This window comes from Homo sapiens, chromosome 7 (genome assembly GCF_000001405.40).
Source record: "Homo sapiens chromosome 7, GRCh38.p14 Primary Assembly".
NCBI lineage: Eukaryota > Metazoa > Chordata > Mammalia > Primates > Hominidae > Homo > Homo sapiens.
Genome location: NC_000007.14, coordinates 153,848,545 through 153,867,637, shown reverse-complemented (window position 1 = coordinate 153,867,637; position 19,093 = coordinate 153,848,545). Strand labels below are relative to the sequence as shown.

The following is a 19,093-nucleotide window of genomic DNA, read 5'->3' as shown; positions in this document are numbered from 1 at the left end:
AGGGTATTCAATTAGGAAAAGAGGAAGTCAAATTGTCCCTGTTTGCAAATGACATGATTGTATATCTAGAAAACCCCATTGTCTCAGCCCAAAATCTCCTTAAGCTGATAAGCAACTTCAGCAAAGTCTCAGGATACAAAATCAATGTGCAAATATCACAAGCATTCTTATACACCAATAACAGACAAACAGAGGGCCAAATCATGAGTGAACTCCCATTCACAATTGCTTCAAAGAGAATAAAATACTTAGGAATCCAATTTACAAGGGATATGAAGGACCTCTTCAAGGAGAACTACAAACCACTACTCAATGAAATAAAAGAGGATATGAACAAATGGAAGAACATTCCACGCTCATGGGTAGGAAGAATCAATATCGTGAAAATGGCCATACTGCCCAAGGTAATTTATAGATTCAATGCCATCCCCCTCAAGCTACCAATTACTTTCTTCACAGAATTGGAAAAAGCTACCTTAATGTTCATATGGAACCAAAAAAGAGCCCGCATTGCCAAGTCAATCGTAAGCCAAAAGAACAAAGCTGGAGGCATCACGCTACCTGACTTCAAACTATACTACAAGGCTACAGTAACAAAAACAGCGTGGTACTGGTACCAAAACAGAGATATCGACCAATGGAACAGAACAGAGCCCTCAGAAATAATGCCACATATCTACAACTATCTGATCTTTGACAAACCTGAGAAAAACAAGCAATGGGGAAAGGATTCCCTATTTAATAAATGGTGCTGGGAAAACTGGCTAGCCATATGTAGAAAGCTGAAACTGGATCCCTTCCTTACACCTTATACAAAAATTAATTCAAGATGGATTAAAGACTTACATGTTAGACCTAAAACCATAAAAACCCTAGAAGGAAACCTAGGCAATACCATTCAAGACATAGGCATGGGCAAGGACTTCATGTCTAAAACACCAAAAGCAATGGCAACAAAAGCCAAAATTGACAAATGGGATCTAATTAAACTAAAGAGCTTCTGCACAGCAAAAGAAACTACCATCAGAGCGAACAGGCAACCTACAGAATGGGAGAAAATTTTTGCAACCTACTCATCTGACAAAGGGTGAATATCCAGAATCTACAATGAACTCAAACAAATTTACAAGAAAAAAACAACCCCATCAAAAAGTGGGCAAAGGATATGAACAGACACTTCTCAAGAGAAGACATTTATGCAGACAAAAAACACATGAAAAAATGCTCATCATCACTGGCCATCAGAGAAATGCAAATCAAAACCACAATGAGATACCATCTCACACTAGGTAGAACGGCGATCATTAAAAAGTCAGGAAACAACAGGTGCTGGAGAGGATGTAGAGAAATAGGAACACTTTTACACTGTTGGTGGGACTGTAAACTAGTTCAACCATTGTGGAAGTCAGTGTGGCGATTCCTCGGGGATCTAGAACTAGAAATACCATTTGACCCAGCCATCCCATTACTGGGTAAATACCCTAAGGATTGTAAATCATGCTGCTATAAAGACACATGCACACGTATGTTTATTGTGGCACTATTCACAACAGCAAAGACTTGGAACCAACCCAAATGTCCAACAATGATAGACTGGATTAAGAAAATGTGGCACATATACACCATGAAATACTATGCAGCCATAAAAAATGATGGGTTCATGTCCTTTATAGGGACATGGATGAAGCTGGAAACCATCATTCTCAGCAAACTATCGCAAGGACAAAAAACTAAACACCACATGTTCTCACTCATAGGTGGGAAATGGAGAATGAGAACACATGGACACAGGAAGTGGAATATCACTCTCTGGGGCCTGTTGTGGGGTGGGGGGAGGGGGGAAGGATAGCATTAGGAGATATACCTAATGCTAAATGACGAGTTAATGGTTGCAGCACACAAACATGGCACATGTATACATATGTAACAAACGTGCACGTTGTGCACATGTACCCTAAAACTTAAATATAGTAATAATAAAATTTAAAAAATACACTATTTTTGAATAGAAGTCTTATTGACCACTTTATATATTGGCAAAGAAGTAAAAGTTAAATAAGAGGTACTTGTGATATATTTTTATATGTAATTTAATTATGGCCAAATTTTATTAATTAAAATGTCATTTGGACTGTAGCTAAAACCCCAAGCTGTAGTTATGAGGTGACAACGATATTACAAAAAGGGGAAAGAAACTAGAGCCCCTTTTATTCACATTCTGAAAGCCAAGATTATGGTCTCCTGCCAAGAAGGTTATCAATTAACCTACCATCTTCATTAAAATCTAAAAAATAAATCCCAAACCTAACAATATCAACAAAAAATATCTGTGGTTGTTGTTTTGAATGAGTAACCTTACTTTTCTGTATACTCCATCTTATTCTGTAACATTTTGCCAGAAAATACTGCTATTGCTGTCGTCTCTGCCATTTTCCTACCCAAAAAATGTTTTTCTTTATTCTTTCGGTCCTGTATATATAATATAATAGATATGTGTGTGTGTAAAATACATTTACTACATGTAAGATGCTGGTAAATCGCTTTAAGTTTTTCATAGTTGATTCGTGTTAATCAGTTTGCTTTACCTTCACATCACCACTGTCAAATATTGGAGACAAGTTATCTTCTACTGCTGATGAGTTTCAGAGGCTGAAAGTTCTTACAGACAGTTTGGGGACAGGGCTGGGGACACACAGATCTCCTGTCTTCTCCCTGGGCTCTTTTCACTGATCCTGAGATTTAAATTGACAGAAAGGAGCAAAAACCTGAATAAGTGTCGATAAACTGCCATCCATCTCAGTAATCAAGAAGAGTAAAGCCTGCATGTTTACAGTTGTAAGCTTCATCATGTATCTGTGGCTGAAGCCTACATAACACATACATTATATTTTCCCTGTTAAAAGTTCCCCAAGCACGTGTGTGTGTGTGTGTGTGTGTGTGTGTGTGTGTGTGTGTGTGTGTGTGTATTATTATTATTTTTTGAGACAGAGTCTTGCTCTGTTGCCCAGGCTGGAGTGTAGTGGTGCAATCTTGGCTCACTGCCACTTCTGCCTCCTGGGTTCAAGCAATTGTCCCTGCCTCAGCCTCCTGAGTAGCTGGGATTAGAGGCGCCCACCACCATGCCCAGCTAATTTTTGGTATTTTTAGTAGAGACGGGGTTTTGCCATGTTGGCCAGTCTGGTCTTGAACTCATGACCTCAGGTGATCCACCTGCCTCAGCCTCTCAAAGTGCTGGGATTAGAAGTGTGAGCCACCACGCCCGGCCCCAAGCATATATTTTTTAAAACGTAAGTTTGACTCTTGTTTTTCTACAAGGGAGTATCAACTCAAAGCCACAATGAGTTGCCATTTCACAACCACTAAAATTGCTATAATAAAAAAGTCAGATAATAACAAGTGATGCAAAGGATGTGGAGAAATTCGAACCCATACATTACCGGTGGGACTGTTAAAATGGTGAAGTTGTTGTGAAACACAGTCTGGCGTTCCTCAAAATGTTAGACATGGAGTTACCATTTGACTCAGCAATTTCAATCCTGAGTATATACCCAAGAGAAATGAAAACACATGCCCAGATAAACACTTGCACACCCACAAATGTTCAGAGCAGCATTATTTACAATAGTCAAAAAGGGTAAGTAGCCCAAATGACCACTGACTAATGAACGGATAAACAAAATGTGGTACATCCATACAGTGGAAGATTATTCAGCCACTAAAGGGAATAAAGTACTGATACATGCCACAACGTGGATGAACTTTGAAAACATTTCATCCTAAATGAAAGAAGCCAGTCATGAAAGACCACGTAGTTCATGATTCCTTTTATACGAAACGTGCAGAATAGGGAAATGAAAATCTACACAGACAGGAAGCAGCAGCTGCTTGGTCTGGGGAGTAGGAGGAAGGGGTGTGGGGAGTGACTGCTAATATGCATAAGGTTTCTTCCTGGAGTGACAAAAATGTTCTAAAATTAAATTCAGTCGATGGGTGTACAATTCTGTAAGCATACTAAAAAAATCATTGATTTCCACGTCGTATTTATTTTTTCATTTAAATTTCTTTAGAGATGGGAGTCTTAACCAATTGCTCAGGCTGGATGATTATACATTTTGAATGAGTGAAATTTATGCTATGAAAACTATACCTCAGCAAAGCTGTTAAAAAAAAAGACTGAGGGGAAAAAAGGAAAAATCTACAGAGATTTTGCACTTGGAAGGTTTGTTGTTGTTGTTGTTTACTACAAGTCCTGGCATACATGTTCACAACAGCAAAGACTTGGAACCAACCCCAATGCCCATCAATGATAGACCGGATAAAGAAAATGTGGTACATATATACCATGGAATACTATGCAGCCATAAAAAAGGATGAGTTCATGTCCTTTGCAGGGACATGGGTAAAGCTGGAAACCATCATTGTCAGTGCTTACAAGGTTTTTATGTTTTGCTATGCTTTGATGAAATCAAAATTGGAAATAAAAGGCAATACATGATGGGTAGAGTTATATAATAAGAGAAACATGAAAAACTATGTCAAAAGATCGGTTAGCAAGTATACATTTATATGGTTTAAGTAGAAATAAAATGTTTAAGATAGGATATTATTCAACCAATATATTTTAAGATATATGCATCTTCTTATATATCATTTTTCCTGTAAACTGTCTGCTCATAATATTTATCTATTTTTCCCTGTTGGTCTATTTCTTTTCTCACGTATTGATTTGCATGATTTTTTTTGCATTAAGGAAATTGACCCTTGATGATATTTGCTTTAAATAGTATTATATGTTACCGATTTGTTGTTTAGTTCTAAATTACTTAACGCATAATTTTTATAAATATATTTCAAATATTTCAATGTATTAAAATGGACTTTTATTGAGATAATGGAGAAACCTAAAATACTAAAAAAAATACTGTGAAGGCCACCAAATCTAGCTTGTTCTTTTCTTGGCAAGCACAAACACAGCCTGAGTTTGTATCTTTAATTACATTTAGAAGGAAAAAATAATCTGCCTACTAGGAGAAAGATGTTTAGGCATTATTTAGGTATGATGCCTGAAACAAAATAAAACAAAACAAAAACTAGAAAACTAAACCCAGAGTTTAGATGAGAGTTGGCTGAGGCTGTTCTGTAACATCAGCCCGCTCTGGGTGATGTGAAGGTGACAGTTAATAATTAACTGCAGTAGGTGTTTTTCAAGGTGAGAGGCAAATAACCCTAAAATATGGAGCTGAGATGTCAGAGTGGAACCTGCCATCAGACCTGACTTTGCTGCTAACAGGCCAGTCCATGGCGGTGGCCAAATGATTACAGCCATTTGCAATCCCTGAACTTTGGTAGCACAGTAGGAGGTATTAACGGGAACAGAGGCTCTTTTTCGCTATCTTTTCTTGTATTTTAAAAATCTCATTTCCTCTTTTCCAGCTGTATTTGTTACAACTACATCCTGGTTTTAAAATAACTTTTGTGCCTCCTCGTCATTCTTTTCCCCTGCTTTTCTGAAGTCCAAATGGAGCCACATGTTGCCTCTGGGAGCCTGGAGTCAGGCCCCACAGGCTCAGGCTCTCATCTTCCACATGTAAATTCTCAAGGACGGTTTGCTGTTTTTGTCCTTAGGACTTTCATATTCTCTGCCATTGCAACAAAAATGTGGGAGTATCAGTTAATTGACAGCTGCAATCATTAGAGCCATCATCGAGATGTTTACCTGGATTGCAACATTCTCAGCTTTTTCCCCCCAAAGAATTGCTACCACTAAATTGCCGTTTGGGTTACTCCATCTGTCTACATTGAGGAGCTCAATAAATAAAATAGTCTTAGGAAATCAGATGAATGCTCCTGTGGAGCTTGGTTTTCCTTCCGTTGCCACAGTGTCTCATTAATGAGTAAACATCTCTTTATCTTGGTGCTGGGAAGAAATCTGCATTACCTGACTAGGTGGTTATTTTCATCTTCTAGATAATAAACATAGGGTAGCCAATTGCATTTCCCTCATATCTTTCCAAAAATTGTACCATTGAATATGATAAAAAAGGGAGGATGCATAGCTCATTGTAGAGGCCTTCAGGACATGGACATTACTTTCAAACCCAATTCCTGGCTTCTTTGTTCTCCCACTCCTATTTACCCTTCATCATAACTTCCTTTCTTATCACATTTGATGGTATAATTTTTGGAAACATATGCATCTTTTGAATATGCTACATGCATTAGAAAATAATGGTATGTCTGAATAAAGAATTGCCATTCATTTATATTAAGTCATTGGCCAAATATGTCTTACTTAGAGAGTGTAGCTATGCAGAAAGTTTTCATTTTGAGGCTGAAAGCTGTGTTATCTTAATTTTCAATATTTTAACAGCAGACTCTATTTTCATGCATATAAATTATAAATATGTTTATGGTTTGTGATAACTGTTATTATTTACAATATTAAACCCGTTGCCTTAAATTTATATTAAAGTCCTGTCTTCTAATATGCAAAATTAATTAACCCAAAAGTTTCTAATTGCCTAAATATGATTTTAAAAAAAAGCATTATCTGTGCTAACTGACTGGGAACATTTAGCAAATGGTAAAATAGCTGAAGAGACCATAACTTTCTTGCCTGATATGGGGAAGGGTAATAAAAATGCAATTTCACAACACCTGCTACTTTACTAAGCATCTCAGTAATGCTTTTAAAAATTAACATATTCGTAGGCACAGAGGATTAACTTGCCTCTCCTCTGCTTTGTTTAGGTACTAGGTGTGTATTTGTGTGTCTCTATGACAAAGGTTAAAATATAAGCTATTTTAGTTGGTGAGAACAGAAAGGGATGAGGTAAAGTATGCTATAAATAGTTTTGAAGTCATGGAAACAATTATATAGGTGTGATTTAAAGGACAACAGGAAGTACCCACGGCAGGAGGCAGGAAGCACACTCACACTGGGAAGTGAAGGAAAGTTTAATACAGGGCCCCTTTTTTTTTTTTTTGAAGGCATGGGCAAGATTTAGGGAAACCACCCAAGGATAGTGCAGTACCTGGGGCTTGTCATTGGGAAGGCATTCCCCCTTCTAGGCTTGAGGAAGATGCAGAAGGAGAGCAGGCCCTGCAACCCGGGAAGGGTGGCCGAACGGCAAGGCTGCCTGGTGGAAGTTCTAGCTCTGGTTCAGGGAATGGGTGGGCAGGGAGTTGGGTGCAAACGCTCTGGCCTCACTTCCCTTCCATCCTGCAACTCCTTCCAGTGCCTCCCACTGGCCAAACACAGTCAAACACCAAAGGGCAATGGAGCTTCTGCCAGTCAGCCTCCTGGGGCACTGAGCAGGGTGGAGAGGCACCAGAAGGGTACAATGAGGGGCCTTGTACCCCCTGCAGCCCCAACATGGTGGAGATTCCCCTAGGTGTCAAAGTACTTGAAATTTAAATCTTGGCAAGTCATTCCTTTAGAATGAAATAGTGGTGTACTTTTAAATCTCGAAATATGCTGGAATAGATGGTGCAGGCTTTGGCTGTTCTGGAATAATAATAATAACTCTATCATGAAAATGATAATAATAACAGCAACCTAAATTGAGTGATAGCTATGTTATAGACATTGCCCTGAACCCTTTCTACACATTAGTTAAGCGAACCTTAGTGATATGGTTTGGCTCCGTGTTCCCACCCAAATCTCACCATGAGTTCTAATTATCCCCCTGTGTCAAGGGCAGGACCAGGTGGAGGTAATTGAACCATGGGGGTGGTTTTCCCCACGCTGTTCTCATGATATTGAGTGAGTTCTCACGAGATCTGATGGTTTTATAAGCATCTGGCATTTCCTCTGCCTACACTCATTCTCTCTCCTGCCACCCTGTGAAGAGGTGCCTTCTGCCATGATCATAAGTTTCCTGAGGCCTCTCCAGCCATGCAGAACTGTGAGTCAATTAAACCTCTTTTCTTTATAAATTACCCAGTCTGGGTATTTCTTCATAGCAGCGTAGGAACGGAATAATACACTTAGCCACAGCCATATCCAGTGGGTACCATCATGTCTCCATGCAACAGGCAGTAAACAGGATGATGCCCACACTAGTTGCTCTGGCAAAGCCAGCACTCAAATGCCCCTTGGTTGTCTTAGAGGTTCTGTCCTGTCCAGCTCAGAACACTGATTTCAGCTCCCATGTCTCACTCAAGTTTTTTTCTGCACAACATGGTCTAGACAGCCACGTCTCATGGAACACGTGGTTCTTCACCACCGTCATTGGCATGTGATAACTAGCCTTACATTGTCCTCTTTGTATGCCAGCCTCCCGACTCCAGCTTGAGAGAAAGTTAGAATGTGTGTCTTGAGTTTTAGTTGCATGTGTCGCTCAGCCAAGCCCGTATCCTTTCTTGAAATGAGTGTGCCTCTTCTGCAATGCATGGTGCAATGCAGCCCTCTCCATCTTATCCAGCCCTGCCTCAGGGTCCTGGCCTATCACCAGACGGGCCCCAGGCCTTTTACCAATAGATCCCAACACCCTTATTGCACAGGTGAAGGTTTTGTTCATCATTGCTGTTGAACAGCTTTTTACTTTCTGATCTATTCTATGAGCTTATTCTCATTTCATGGGCCACATTCTCAATGTAAAGACCCAGCCTAATAGGGAAGTGCTGAAGACATATGCTCTATAGCCACAGAATGCATTTATAGAGTTATGGATTTCTGAATGGCAAGGCAGTCATGGGGGTATAAATATCACTTTACTGCATCCCCACACACCACAATAAACTGTCACAAGACAGCGTGATGCTGCCTTAATTGTAGCAGATAATGATAATTATATACTGCCTCCATTACTTTCACCATATTAAGCCATGTTCTTTCTCCCTTACATTCAGTAGCTCCTATATATGGAAAAGGAAATAAAAATCTCATCTTCATTAAACATCTCTGTTTAAAGCCAAAGGGAAAAAAAGGTCTGTGAAGCAGCATGTGGAGAGTTTTTACTGTGGATGACAGCAGTGGATTTAATTGCTCACACAGTAAGCTGAAAACATACTTGTGAATCAGCTTTCACAGGAAGCCACTGGTTCTTGGAAATGCCCAGCACATGAGGTACACAAGCATTCACAGCCTTGTGTGTGATCTAGGGAATGCAGAGTGGGAGGACAGCGTCATCACTGGGCTGAGAATCTGAGAAGACACAGGAAGGAGGAAAGTCAAGAACAAGAGTCCCGTCTTGAGCCAGGTCCAGATATTTCCCTGGAGAAACAAGTGTTTACACCGTTACTAGCGTCTCTGTTTTTACCTGACACCCTGAAAACTGTTCCCTTCACCCTGCCCCAGCAGAACCAATCCCCTGGGTGATTGAATCAGGGAATAAGAAACTTGTTTCTGGTGGATACAGTCATCTGTGTCATGCCTTCCTCAAAAATTAGTTATGGTTACCACAAATCTACAATTAATGAGCTCACTCTAACTCAACTGAGCCACTTTCAAATGACTGCAAAGAAAACTCTCTTGTCATTTTGAAGAAAGAAGGGGAAAGAGAAACAAGAAAAAGCAAAAAACTCATAACAAATTCTGGTAAGAGAATGCTTCCTCAACTGTCCTTAGAAGACATATGTTAATGACTAATTAGAATGAAATGTAACAAGTACATCAGTATGTAAATGGTGCTTGCAAAAAGATCACATCATCACAAATTTAGAGCTAGAGGAAAGTGGAGTCAACTGAGAACTCCACTTATAACATTTTTATACAATTGATTTCTTCAACCTGTTCTTCATTTACGGAAAGGACAACCTAACCCTGATCATATCCAAATAATCACAAAACCCAAGTATGTGGTGGTGTTCTTAAAGAGGTTTTAGCACTATGCAGATCAAATCTAAATTCTATCAGGAAAACCAAACATTACTAAAATATTCATAGCCTTATCTTTATAAAAAAGCACTGTAGATATGTGTTTATATTCTAAGCATGATACTTAGTCTAGATATAATATCTATTTTGCATCTGCTTTAGTTTAACTGATATCTCAATTCTGCATGAACAGTGGCAGCTGGCATCAAATGACAAAAAACATCATCCCAAATAACTTAACATTCAAAGTATATCCCCAAACCTTCTCCGGTAAAAGAATCATGGCTTTGTTCCTAAGTCACATGCCAGAAAGCTGTAAGCAGTGTCTGCGCAGAGAGGAAATTTTTCAAGTGGTAGAAATAGCTTCTTTCTGACAGAATTTTAGATTTCGTGTTGTGCTTAGCACTTTAAATGTTGACCATAGCAACTAGCACCAGCAATTTTATATACACATGCTGAGAGAGAGAGAGAGAGAGAGAGAGAGAGAGAGAGAGAAAACCTTTGAGTTCTAAGGACACATATTAATAAGTATAGATTAGGGTTATGGCCAATGTTTTCTAAATAACTATTAAAAATTGTGCTTAACTATTTTGCAAAGATAAATGCTTAAAAATTTTAGATAAAATCTTTAGTCCAGATTGTGACCTAAAAATGTGGCCTTGTGAAGATACAAGTTATTTCCACTTGTAAAGGTTTCTTTGTCATAGAAAAAAGGTATTAATTTGGAGCATTTTACTTTCATATTGATGATCATTTTCATCAATATTTTCTATACTTGCAAAGTAAACAGAGACAATGAATTAGAGGCGATAGGAAATCCAACATTATTCAGACGTTTTGAAAAAAGTAACATTCTGGCATTTTCAGTGAAAAACATTTCAACTCCACAAATCACCCTGACTTGTCTTAGGCTAAGTGTCTGGTTCAGAGCTCATTCTATGTAAGAGAGATTGATCTTCTTAAGGAGCCAATAATCCCCACATTGCTTATTATTTTGGATTAAGATACAGAAGCCCTTGGCGATCCTGAAAATGTGATTTGGATGATTACATATTATGCCATTATGAGTCATTAGCACTTGACCCTAAATTAATTACCTGGTAAGTTAGCAAACAGATCCCTTGAGAATGGGATATGGGGCAGGTGTGTTTATAGAAAGGCTCAGAGGTAAGTAAACTCACAGTAAACTGCCCCATAGGGCAGGACCAGATATGAAATCCCACAGTAAAGAATTCCTCTTAACTTATGGTTATGTTTAGGACTAAGCTATTCTCTTGATCATAGCCAATACCCCAGATGTGTACTAAATATTTTTTGTACATAATATTATGAATTAAATAAAAGTAAATAGGATGTCAATGAAAATGGCAGAGGAAGAACCTCTGAATATTTTCTCCTCTTAAATGTCATGGAAAAACTGACAAAAATTGTGAGAATCAACTTTTCAGAAACACGGAATTTAACCAAAGCCTCATACAAATCTGGAGAACATTTACTCCAGGAAAATGGCCAAATTTTGGTAAGACCAGTGACCTTGTAGTGTTTTAACTTTTCCTGTTCCCATCCTCAACCGTACCCCTAGCTCTGTGGTAGTCTTTGTAACCAGTTGTCTGCAAACACAGTGAAAACCACCAACCTAGCTGCCACTGGAGTGGCAGGAACAGGGTGAGGTACCTTCAGTGAGGTGCCTCATTTCCAGAGAATTGTCATGATCTGACCTGCCTGATAGTTCTCTGAAAGGGCCTGCTCACAAAGCTGTGCTTATATGATGTGATTTGGTGCTTGCCCAGTACAGAAAGCCTTTGACTTGGGGGACACTGTTGGATGTATTGAGGCAATTGTTTAACTTCTGAGTCACCTATGGCACTACATAATAGTTGGGAGAAACCCTAGACTAACCAAAAAGCTTAAAAGGTAAGACTGGGAAATGCAGTTTCCACAGGAATGTTGAAAAGTTACATCATATTTTTTTTTGAATCTAGAAGGCCAAGTACATATGCAGAGATGTAGGTATGGTAAAGAATGACTGAAGACTCTAAGCTCTCACCTCTGTCTGACCTTGAGGCACTTCCTAAGCAGGAAGGGAGAGCTAAGGCAGAGTTGTCCAATGTCTGGCTGAGTGTTGAGGTGTGCCCAAACACACACAGAAGTACACTGGTAGATTTGGGAGCCCTATTGGTTCCAGATCAATAAGACTAGAAATCTCTGTCTAATCATCAGCTGATCACTAAGCTAACCAAAGCCTTCATGACCACATGTGAAAAAGAATAGAGAATTTCCAAAATTAATGCATGAAGTTTCTAAACAAAGAACAACAACAGCAGCAAACAGTAAAAAGTAGGGGGAAATCTGATTTCCAAAGTTCACGCAGTGGATTATTTTAAATGTCCAATTTTCAAGGGAGAAAATGGAGACACACAAATAAATAAGAACAGGAAAGAATCCCCGCTCCCTTGTTTGTATAAGTTAATGAGTGGATCCTAAAATCCATATGGAAAAGCAAGGAACTTAATAAACAAAATAATATTGAAAAAGAATATTTTTTTTATAGGTATTATTTTTATTATTTCTTTTTTTTTATTATACTTTAAGTTTTAGGGTACATGTGCACATTGTGCAGGTTAGTTACATATGTATACATGTGCCATGCTGGTGCGCTGCACCCACTAACTTGTCATCTAGCATTAGGTATATCTCCCAATGCTATCCCTCCCCCCTCCCCCCAACCCACAACAGTCCCCAGAGTGTGATATTCCCCTTCCTGTGTCCATGTGATCTCATTGTTCAATTCCCACCTATGAGTGAGAATATGCGGTGTTTGGTTTTTTGTTCTTGTGATAGTTTACTGAGAATGATGATTTCCAATTTCATCCATGTCCCTACAAAGGACATGAACTCATCATGTTTTATGGCTGCATAGTATTCCATGGTGTATATGTGCCACATTTTCTTAATCCAGTCTATCATTGTTGGACATTTGGGTTGGTTCCAAGTCTTTGCTATTGTGAATAATGCCGCAATAAACATACATGTGCATGTGTCTTTATAGCAGCATGATTTATAGTCATTTGGGTATATACCCAGTAATGGGATGGCTGGGTCAAATGGTATTTCTAGTTCTAGATCCCTGAGGAATCGCCACACTGACTTCCACAATGGATGAACTAGTTTACAGTCCCACCAACAGTGTAAAAGTGTTCCTATTTCTCCACATCCTCTCCAGCACCTGTTGTTTCCTGACTTTTTAATGATTGCCATTCTAACTGGTGTGAGATGGTATCTCATTGTGGTTTTGATTTGCATTTCTCTGATGGCCAGTGATGATGAGCATTTTTTCATGTGTCTTTTGGCTGCATAAATGTCTTCTTTTGAGAAGTGTCTGTTCATGTCCTTCGCCCACTTTTTGATGGGGTTGTTTGTTTTTTTCTTGTAAATTTGTTGGAGTTCATTGTAGATTCTGGATATTAGCCCTTTGTCAGATGAGTAGGTTGCGATCACCAAGTCAATCCTAAGCCAAAAGAACAAAGCTGGAGGCATCACACTACCTGACTTCAAACTATACTACAAGGCTACAGTAACCAAAACAGCATGGTACTTGTACCAAAACAGAGATATAGATCAATGGAACAGAACAGAGCCCTCAGAAATAATGCCGCATATCTACAACTATCTGATCTTTGACAAACCTGAGAAAAACAAGCAATGGGGAAAGGATTCCCTATTTAATAAATGGTGCTGGGAAAACTGGCTAGCCATATGTAGGAAGCTGAAACTGGATCCCTTCCTTACACCTTATACAAAAATCAATTCAAGATGGATTAAAGATTTAAACGTTAGACCTAAAACCATAAAAACCCTAGAAGAAAACCTAGGCATGACCATTCAGGACATAGGCATGGGCAAGGACTTCATGTCCAAAACACCAAAAGCAATGGCAACAAAAGCCAAAATTGACAAATGGGATCTAATTAAACTAAAGAGCTTCTGCACAGCAAAAGAAACTACCATCAGAGTGAACAGGCAACCTACAAAATGGGAGAAAAGAATAACTATTTTTTTAAAGTTAGCAAACAATGTTTTCTTGTTAAGTTGAATTTGAATTGCATGATTCTGCCATGTCCACTGAGACCCATAGATCCAGGAGTTCCTTTCCTGAGCAGCACTTTCACTCTGTCTATCAGCACTGTCTCACGGCGTACTTCCAAGCTCTGATGGGATGGCCTTCCATCCAGGCCTAGTACAAGTCACAGAGGTATTTCCTTAATAGAAGCTTCCATTAGTTATATCATAAAAGACTAGCATACTCCTTAAATCAGCAAAAATTCTGGTTGACAACAATGTTTCTTGGCAAAGATAGCCCAGGTTTCTAGTTCAAGGGAGTAAACCAAACACATTATAGCTACCCATCCTGCCTCAAGCCCCAGAAATGACATAACAGACATAAATAAATACAGTTTAACACTGTAAAATCCAAGGGAGAATTCTTGGTAGAACAGACATTACTAGTAGCTTCTGAAACAGAAGTGAACGAGATCAGGTTGAAGATGCAATGATATCAAACGTGCACAGGCAGAACAGCTATAGACATGGGAGCAAGCCTGAAATGCTTCACTTCCTGATGAGACAGACAGAGAAGAGGGGTCAAGGGTAAATTGAAAGATGTTAGTGAGGACATTATAGCCATGCATTTGATTCCTCTGTGATTCCTCTTTTCCTTTTGTGCCTAGGCTGAAACAACAGAGCTGTATCTCTTTTAAGTAAAATTAGCCTGGGTGTTATGCAGAGAGATGGGGCATTGTGTACAAATGGCTGGGGTTGACCAGGAGATAGAGGGGTGCCCACATGTTGAAAATTAGCTCTTGATACTCCTCACTTCATAGCTTGTCCGTTCTCTTCCTTAATTTTACTGAAAATGGCCTAAAATAGTATTTATCAACCACAGTCGAGATGCATTTTGGTGTGTGAAAATCAAAAAAGTACTTAACTCGTGTGTGAAAAAAGTGCAATGCGATTGAGCAGAATAGAAAATACCAGAGTTCATTTCACAAGAGGATTAATACTAACTTTCACAAGAGGATAAATAAGTGTTTGGTAAGTAAACTATTTTTTTCATAAATAAGCACAGACATAAACCTGTGTTTGTCATGGCTCACAATGTGTACTGTATGTCCTTCGTGTGCATCTGATATGGTTTGGAACTGTGTCCCTGCCAAAATCTCCTGTTGAATTGTGATCCCCAGTGTTGGAGGTGGGGCCTGGTGGGAGTTGATTGAATCATGAGGGTAGTTTCTCATGAATGGTTTAACACCATTCCCCCTTGGTACTGTCCTCGTGATAGTGAGTCAGTTCTCATGAGATCTGGTGGTTTAAAAGTGTATGGCAGCTCCCACTCTCTTGCTCCTGCTCCGGCCATATGAGATGCCTGCTCCCCCTTTGCCTTCCATCATGACTAAGTTCCCTGAGGCCTCCCCAGAAGCCAAGCAGATGCCAGCACCACACATCCTATAGAACTCGGGGACAATTAAACCTCTTTTCTTTATAAATTACCCAGTCTCAGGTGTTTCTTTAGAGCAACGCAACAGTCTAGTACAGCATGATTGCCGGAAGAGAGAATGAACCACTCCAGCACATCTCACTGCTCCTCCCAGCCAGGCTGTGCTGACATCGAGCCTAACAGAAAATGCTGCTGAATGCATTACCAAGATTCATCTAGCACTGAAAGGGAGAAGCCACCATGAAATAACAAACTCCAAAGGCTGAATAACACACAATCAAAGAACAAAGCAGAGTGTAAGGATAAGTAGCATCACAGAGAGATGGGAGGGAGAATAATAGATGTAAAAAATCAAATAGAAATCATGCAGAGTAAAAATTTTATTGAGAGAAAACCTTAGTGTATCAGCCAAATACCATTTGATATACGTAAAATGTAAATTACAGAGCAATGAAATTACCCTTTGGAATTCCTCAAGAACTTAGTCAAACAATGAAAAAGTTCAGAAAGCATGAAAAACATAGAAGATAGATCTGGGATTTGTGATATTAGTACTATATGAAAGAATGTCTAGAAAAAGCAAATAAAGATGGAGGAGAATATTCAAAGAATAACCAAAGAAACTTCTCTAGATCTTGGAGAATAAATCTACTTATATTGAAATTATTCTTTATAAATGGACAGGACACCAAGATATAAGTAATATAAAACAAAAACTTAAAATATCAAATTGTCAAATTTCAGAAAGCCAAAGATAAAAAGAAAATGCTTGAAAGTTACAAAAGTGAAAAATATCCGATTAAGTACAAAGGAACAAAAATCAGATTGGCATATGGAGTAGGTTAGACATAATGTTTCAGACAAAAGGTGAAGGGAGTAATATTTCAAAAATTCAAAAAGAAAAAATAACCTTGAATCAAGAATTCTATACTTAATCAGGGTACCATCCAGGAATGAGAGGAGGACAGCAATATTTTGAAATGTACAAAGTAAACCCAAGAGAAAATGAGTGGGTTTAATGAAAAGTCAGCAAGTAATTTAGTAAAATGTAGTTTTAAGGCAAATAATTGCTGATTGTTTATGTTTACATTTTTTAAATTCTCAGCTTAGAATTCCAAATACCAAATAGTCAAAGGGCAAATGGCGAAAGTGGGAGTAGGTGAGAAAGAAACTCCACGCTTGCTAAGGTTATATGGTTTATTCAAGGGAAGAATATATAATCTGATCAGCACTAGACATTGTCGGGAAAATATAGGTGTAAATAGAAATGTTAACAAGTAAATAACCTTCAAACCATTAAAGAATGTGACAGGAAAAAAATGATATCTGTCCTAAAAAGGATATAAGAAATGTGGTAGATGGACTTGAAGGTAGCCCCAGGATTCTTACCTCCTGGGACATATGCACTTGTGTGATGTCTTCTGATATGCTTTGGCTGTGTCTCCACCCAAATCTCACCTTGAATTCTAATAAGCCCCATGTGTCAAGGGCTGGGCCAGGTGGAAATAACCAAATCATGGAGGCAGTTTCCCCCATACTCTTCTTGTGATAGTGAATAAGTCTCACTAAATCTGATGGTTTTATTATAACTGGGAGTTCCCCTACAGAAGCTCTTGCCTGCCACCATGTAAGACACAACTTTGCTCCTCATTCACCTTCTGCCATGATTGTGAGGACTCCCCAGCCATGTGGAACTGTGAGTCAATGAAACCTCTTTCCTTTATAAATTACACAATCTAGGGTATGTCTTTATTAGCAGCATGAGAACAGACTAATATACCTTCTCCTTGAGAATGAATAGGACCTATGGTTTCCTTCTAACCAATAGAATATGGAAGATGTTACAGATGTATGTATGCTTGCATTACATGAAGTTGTAGCATTAGTCTTGGCAGTAGACTCGCTCCCTTGCTGGCTCTGCAGAAGCAAGCTACCATGTTGTGTAATGTCATACAGAGAGCCCACATGGGAAAGAAGGTGACCCCCCAGCCAATAAGAGATGGAGCCCCTCAGCCCAACAAACCACCAGGAAGTGAATGCCACCATTAGCCATAGGAGTGTGGAAGCAGATCTCTCCCCAGCCAGGCCTAAGATAAGGCCACAGTCCTGGCTGGCATCTTGATTGCAGCCTTGTGAGGCCCTGAAGCAGCAAAGCCACCTAAGCTGTGTCTGGACTCCCGACCACAGAAACTGAGAAAACTAATGTGTGTTGTTGTAAGGCAATAAGTTTGGCAATATTATTATACGGCAACAGGTAATAATATAAAAGTGAAAAATGAGTAACTGGAAAGCATGAGAAGGAGGCACAAAATAATGGAACAAGAATATGATGCAAAATATTAATATTCTCAATAATTATGAATGGGTCCAAATTTATCTATTAAATAATAGAGGGATTCTTGTGCACAGAATACAAATTAATTGATTTTTTAACTCAATAAAAGACACTTAAAATGATACAGGAGGAATGAAAATGTTTGTAAAGAAAATACTAAGAAAATGTTAACAAAAAGAAGATAGGTTTGCCAAAATGTATATGAAACAAAGTGGAATACAAGTAAATAGCAATGTAATGCACAAGGAAGAATACTGCATGTTGGTGATGTAAGAATTCTCAAAGAACATTTTCAAAAGTCAAAATTTGTATGTACTTAAAAACCCAGCCTTGAAACACATGGAACAAAAGCCAGTAGGAAAACTTCCATTTCCAGAAAAATTGCTAAATAGACTTTTGGAATAACTTAGTTTTTATGGCATTTCAAAAAAAAGATGGATAAAATATTAACCGGTTCTTCTTTCTTAAATAGGTGGCTTAATGGGAGTTAATATGGGAGAATTACCTAGGGTTTTATGGAGCATCAGGAAATGAGACAAATCCTGGTTCCAAGCAATAAGGGGGGCTGGCTGGAAGATAAGGGCCCAAGTTAGAACCCAGCAAGGACGACATCTTCAGCAGGTGAACCAGGAAAGCACCTCTGCAGAGGGAGTTGTGGGTATAATTGTCTGCTTCAGTCTCAATAAGCTACAGAGTATTCAAAAAAAAAAAAAGAAAACATATATGTCTCTGGTAATTATTTCTAACCACCTCTGGGTTTAGGGTCTCCATTTGTACTAACTGTGTGGCCTATAAAACATCAAGTCAAACATTAATGCAAGGCAATCCAATTTTGGATACGTCCCCCATATTTCAGTAGAAGAAAATAAGTTTTTCTCTGTAGGCAAGCACTTTAAGGTCTATGCTCAATGAATTCCTACAGATTAATTTCCCTAGGGGTAGGGAACTTACAATAAAAATATCTCAAATAAACATAAAGACATAAACCATCATAAATTAAAGTTAAAAAACCCTTTTATGTATTAGACCTAAGATATGGAAAACAATGGGATTATTGAATAAAATGGCTGTTTAATGTATTTAAAGAAAAAAGAAATAATGGAAAGTATGACAATAGAACAAGAGACTATCAAAACTCCTGAGCCAAATTAGTAGTAACCCAGTAGAATGCATAGAAATAAAAAGATAAAAAGCAAAAGCAAAAATTAAACCTTAAAGGATTGATATAACAACACATAAAACACAGCTTAAGAGAGATTTTGTGAACTATAATAATGATTTGAATCGTTCTGGGTTTCATAATGATAAAGTAGCCTACATCAAACTAAACTTATAATCTCTGGGAAATTTTTTAAAAAGAAAACCATTTGACAGTTGTAGAGAATTGCTAAAAGTATAGTTAAGCTGAACCCTTGAAAAGACAGAAATGCACTAAGTTAGACCC

At 38.5% G+C, this 19,093-nt stretch overlaps 1 protein-coding gene and 1 long non-coding RNA gene across 6 annotated transcripts in view, besides 1 other annotated feature; both read right to left on the bottom strand.

The window, feature by feature from the left end:
- DPP6 (dipeptidyl peptidase like 6) overlaps window positions 1-19,093 on the bottom strand; it is a 1,146,153-nt gene that overhangs the window by 1,026,648 nt on the left and 100,412 nt on the right. The window lies entirely within an intron of this gene.
- Window positions 2,072-12,359, bottom strand: LOC107986722 (uncharacterized). Its single transcript, XR_001745002.1, has 2 exons — window positions 9,015-12,359; window positions 2,072-2,732 (listed from the first exon to the last, which is right to left on the bottom strand). It is a non-coding gene; the product is annotated as an uncharacterized LOC107986722 (long non-coding RNA).
- Window positions 8,337-9,536: an enhancer, noted in NCBI's record as "BRD4-independent group 4 enhancer chr7:153555187-153556386 (GRCh37/hg19 assembly coordinates)". NCBI's record gives its function as "activates an origin of replication core promoter dependent on BRD2, P300/CBP, MED14 and CDK7 cofactors, and independent of BRD4, by STARR-seq in HCT116 cells {active_cell/tissue: HCT116}" and the evidence as "EXISTENCE:reporter gene assay evidence [ECO:0000049][PMID:35650434]".